This window comes from Homo sapiens, chromosome 12 (assembly GCF_000001405.40).
Source record: "Homo sapiens chromosome 12, GRCh38.p14 Primary Assembly".
Lineage (NCBI taxonomy): Eukaryota > Metazoa > Chordata > Mammalia > Primates > Hominidae > Homo > Homo sapiens.
In genome coordinates this window covers 43,684,889-43,686,929 of record NC_000012.12, presented here as the reverse complement: position 1 = coordinate 43,686,929, position 2,041 = coordinate 43,684,889, and the positions used below count along the sequence as shown (strand labels likewise).

At 55.8% G+C, this 2,041-nt stretch overlaps 1 annotated feature.

Annotated features, from left to right (window-relative positions):
- Positions 557 to 1,352: an enhancer, noted in NCBI's record as "NANOG-H3K27ac hESC enhancer chr12:44079381-44080176 (GRCh37/hg19 assembly coordinates)". NCBI's record gives its function as "activates a minimal SCP1, AML or CMV promoter by ChIP-STARR-seq in naive H9 embryonic stem cells {active_cell/tissue: H9 hESC(naive)}" and the evidence as "EXISTENCE:reporter gene assay evidence [ECO:0000049][PMID:30033119]".

The following is a 2,041-nucleotide window of genomic DNA, read 5'->3' as shown; positions in this document are numbered from 1 at the left end:
TAAGGGAGTTAGGTCTTCTTGTTGAATTGAACCCTTTACTATTATGCAATGCCTTTCTTTGTTTATCTTTTAAAATTTTTGTTGGTTTAAAGTCAGTTTTGCTTGAAATTAGAATAGCAATGCCTGCTTTTTTTTTTTTCTGTTTTTCATTTGCTTAATGGATTTTTCTCCATCCATTTATTTTCATCCTGTGGGTATCATTGCATGTGAGATGGGTCTCTTAAAGACAGCATACAGTTGGGTTTTGCTTCATTATTCAACTCACCACTCTATGCCTTTTAACTGGAGTATTTAGTCTATTTACATATAAGGTTAATATTGACATATGCGAATTTGATCCTGTTATGTTGTTAGCTGGTTATTATGCAAACTTGTTTGTATGGTTGCTTTATAGTGTCAGTGGTCTGTGTATTTAAGTGAATTTTTTTGGCGGTCCGTGTTGGTCTTTCCTTTCCATATTACTCCCTTCAGAACCTCTTGTAAGGCAGGTCTGGTAGTCAAATTCTCTTAGCATTTGCTTGCCTGAAAAGTATCTTATTTATCCTTTGCTTATGAATTCTGTTTCTCTTTTTTTTTTTTTTCTTTTTAATTTGAATTTTTTTTATTGATCATTCTTGGGTGTTTCTCGCAGAGGGGGATTTGGCAGGGTCGTAGGACAATAGTGGAGGGAAGGTCGGCAGATAAACAAGTGAACAAAGGTCTCTGGTTTTCCTAGGCAGAGGACCCTGCGGCCTTCCGCAGTGTTTGTGTCCCTGGGTACTTGAGATTAGGGAGTGGTGATGATTCTTAACGAGCATGCTGCCTTCAAGCATCTGTTTAACAAAGCACATCTTGCACCGCCCTTAATCCATTTAACCCTGAGTGGATACAGCACACGTTTCAGAGAGCACAGGGTTGGGGGTAAGGTCACCGATCAACAGGATCCCAAGGCAGAAGAATTTATCTTAGTACAGAACAAAATGAAAAGTCTCCCATGTCTACTACTTTCTACACAGACACGGCAACCATCCGATTTCTCAATCTTTTCCCCACCTTTCCCCGCTTTCTATTCCACAAAACCGCCATTGTCATCCCCGCCCGTTCTCAATGAGCTGTTGGGTACACCTCCCAGACGGTGTGGTGGCCGGGCAGAGGGGCTCCTCACTTCCCAGTAGGGGCGGCCGGGCAGAGGTGCCCCTCACCTCCCGGACGGGGCGGCTGGCAGGGCAGGGGGCTGACCCCCCCACTTCCCTCCCGGACGGAGCGGCTGGCCGGACAGAGGGGCGCCTCACTTCCTAGTAGGGGCGGCCGGGCAGAGGAGCCCCTCACCTCCCGGACGGGGCGGCTGGCCGGGCGGGGGGTTGAGCCCCGCACCTCCCTCCCGGACAGGGCGGCTGGCCGGGCGGTGGGCTGACCCCCCCACCTCCCTCCCGGATGGGGCGGCTGGCTGGGGGGGGGGCTGACCCACCTCCCTCCCGGACGGGTGGCTGGCCCGGCAGAGGGGGTCCTCACTTCCCAGTAGGGGCGGCTGGGCAGAGGCGCCCCTCACCTCCCAGACTGGGCGGCTGGCCGGGCGGGGGGCTGACCCCCCACCTCCCTCCCGGACGGGGTGGCTGGCCGGGCGGGGGCTGACCCCCCCCACCTCCCTCCCGGACGGGGGGCTGACCCCCCCACCTCCCTCCCGGACGGGGCGGCTGCCGGGCGGAGACGCTTCTCACTTCCTAGACGGGGTGGCTGCCGGGCAGAGGGGCTCCTCACTTCTCAGACAGGGCGGCTGCCGGGCGGAGGGGCTCCTCACTTCTCAGACGGGGCGGTTGCTGGGCGGAGGGTCTCCTCACTTCTCAGACGGGGCGGCTGGGCAGAGACGCTCCTCACCTCCCAGATGGGGTCGCGGCCGGGCAGAGGCGCTCCTCACATCCCAGACGGGGCGGCGGGGCAGAGGCGCTCCCCACATCTCAGACAATGGGCGGCTGGGCAGAGACGCTCCTCACTTCCCAGATGGGATGGCTGCTGGGAAGAGGCGCTCCTCACTTCCTAGATGGGATGGCGGCTGGGCAGAGAC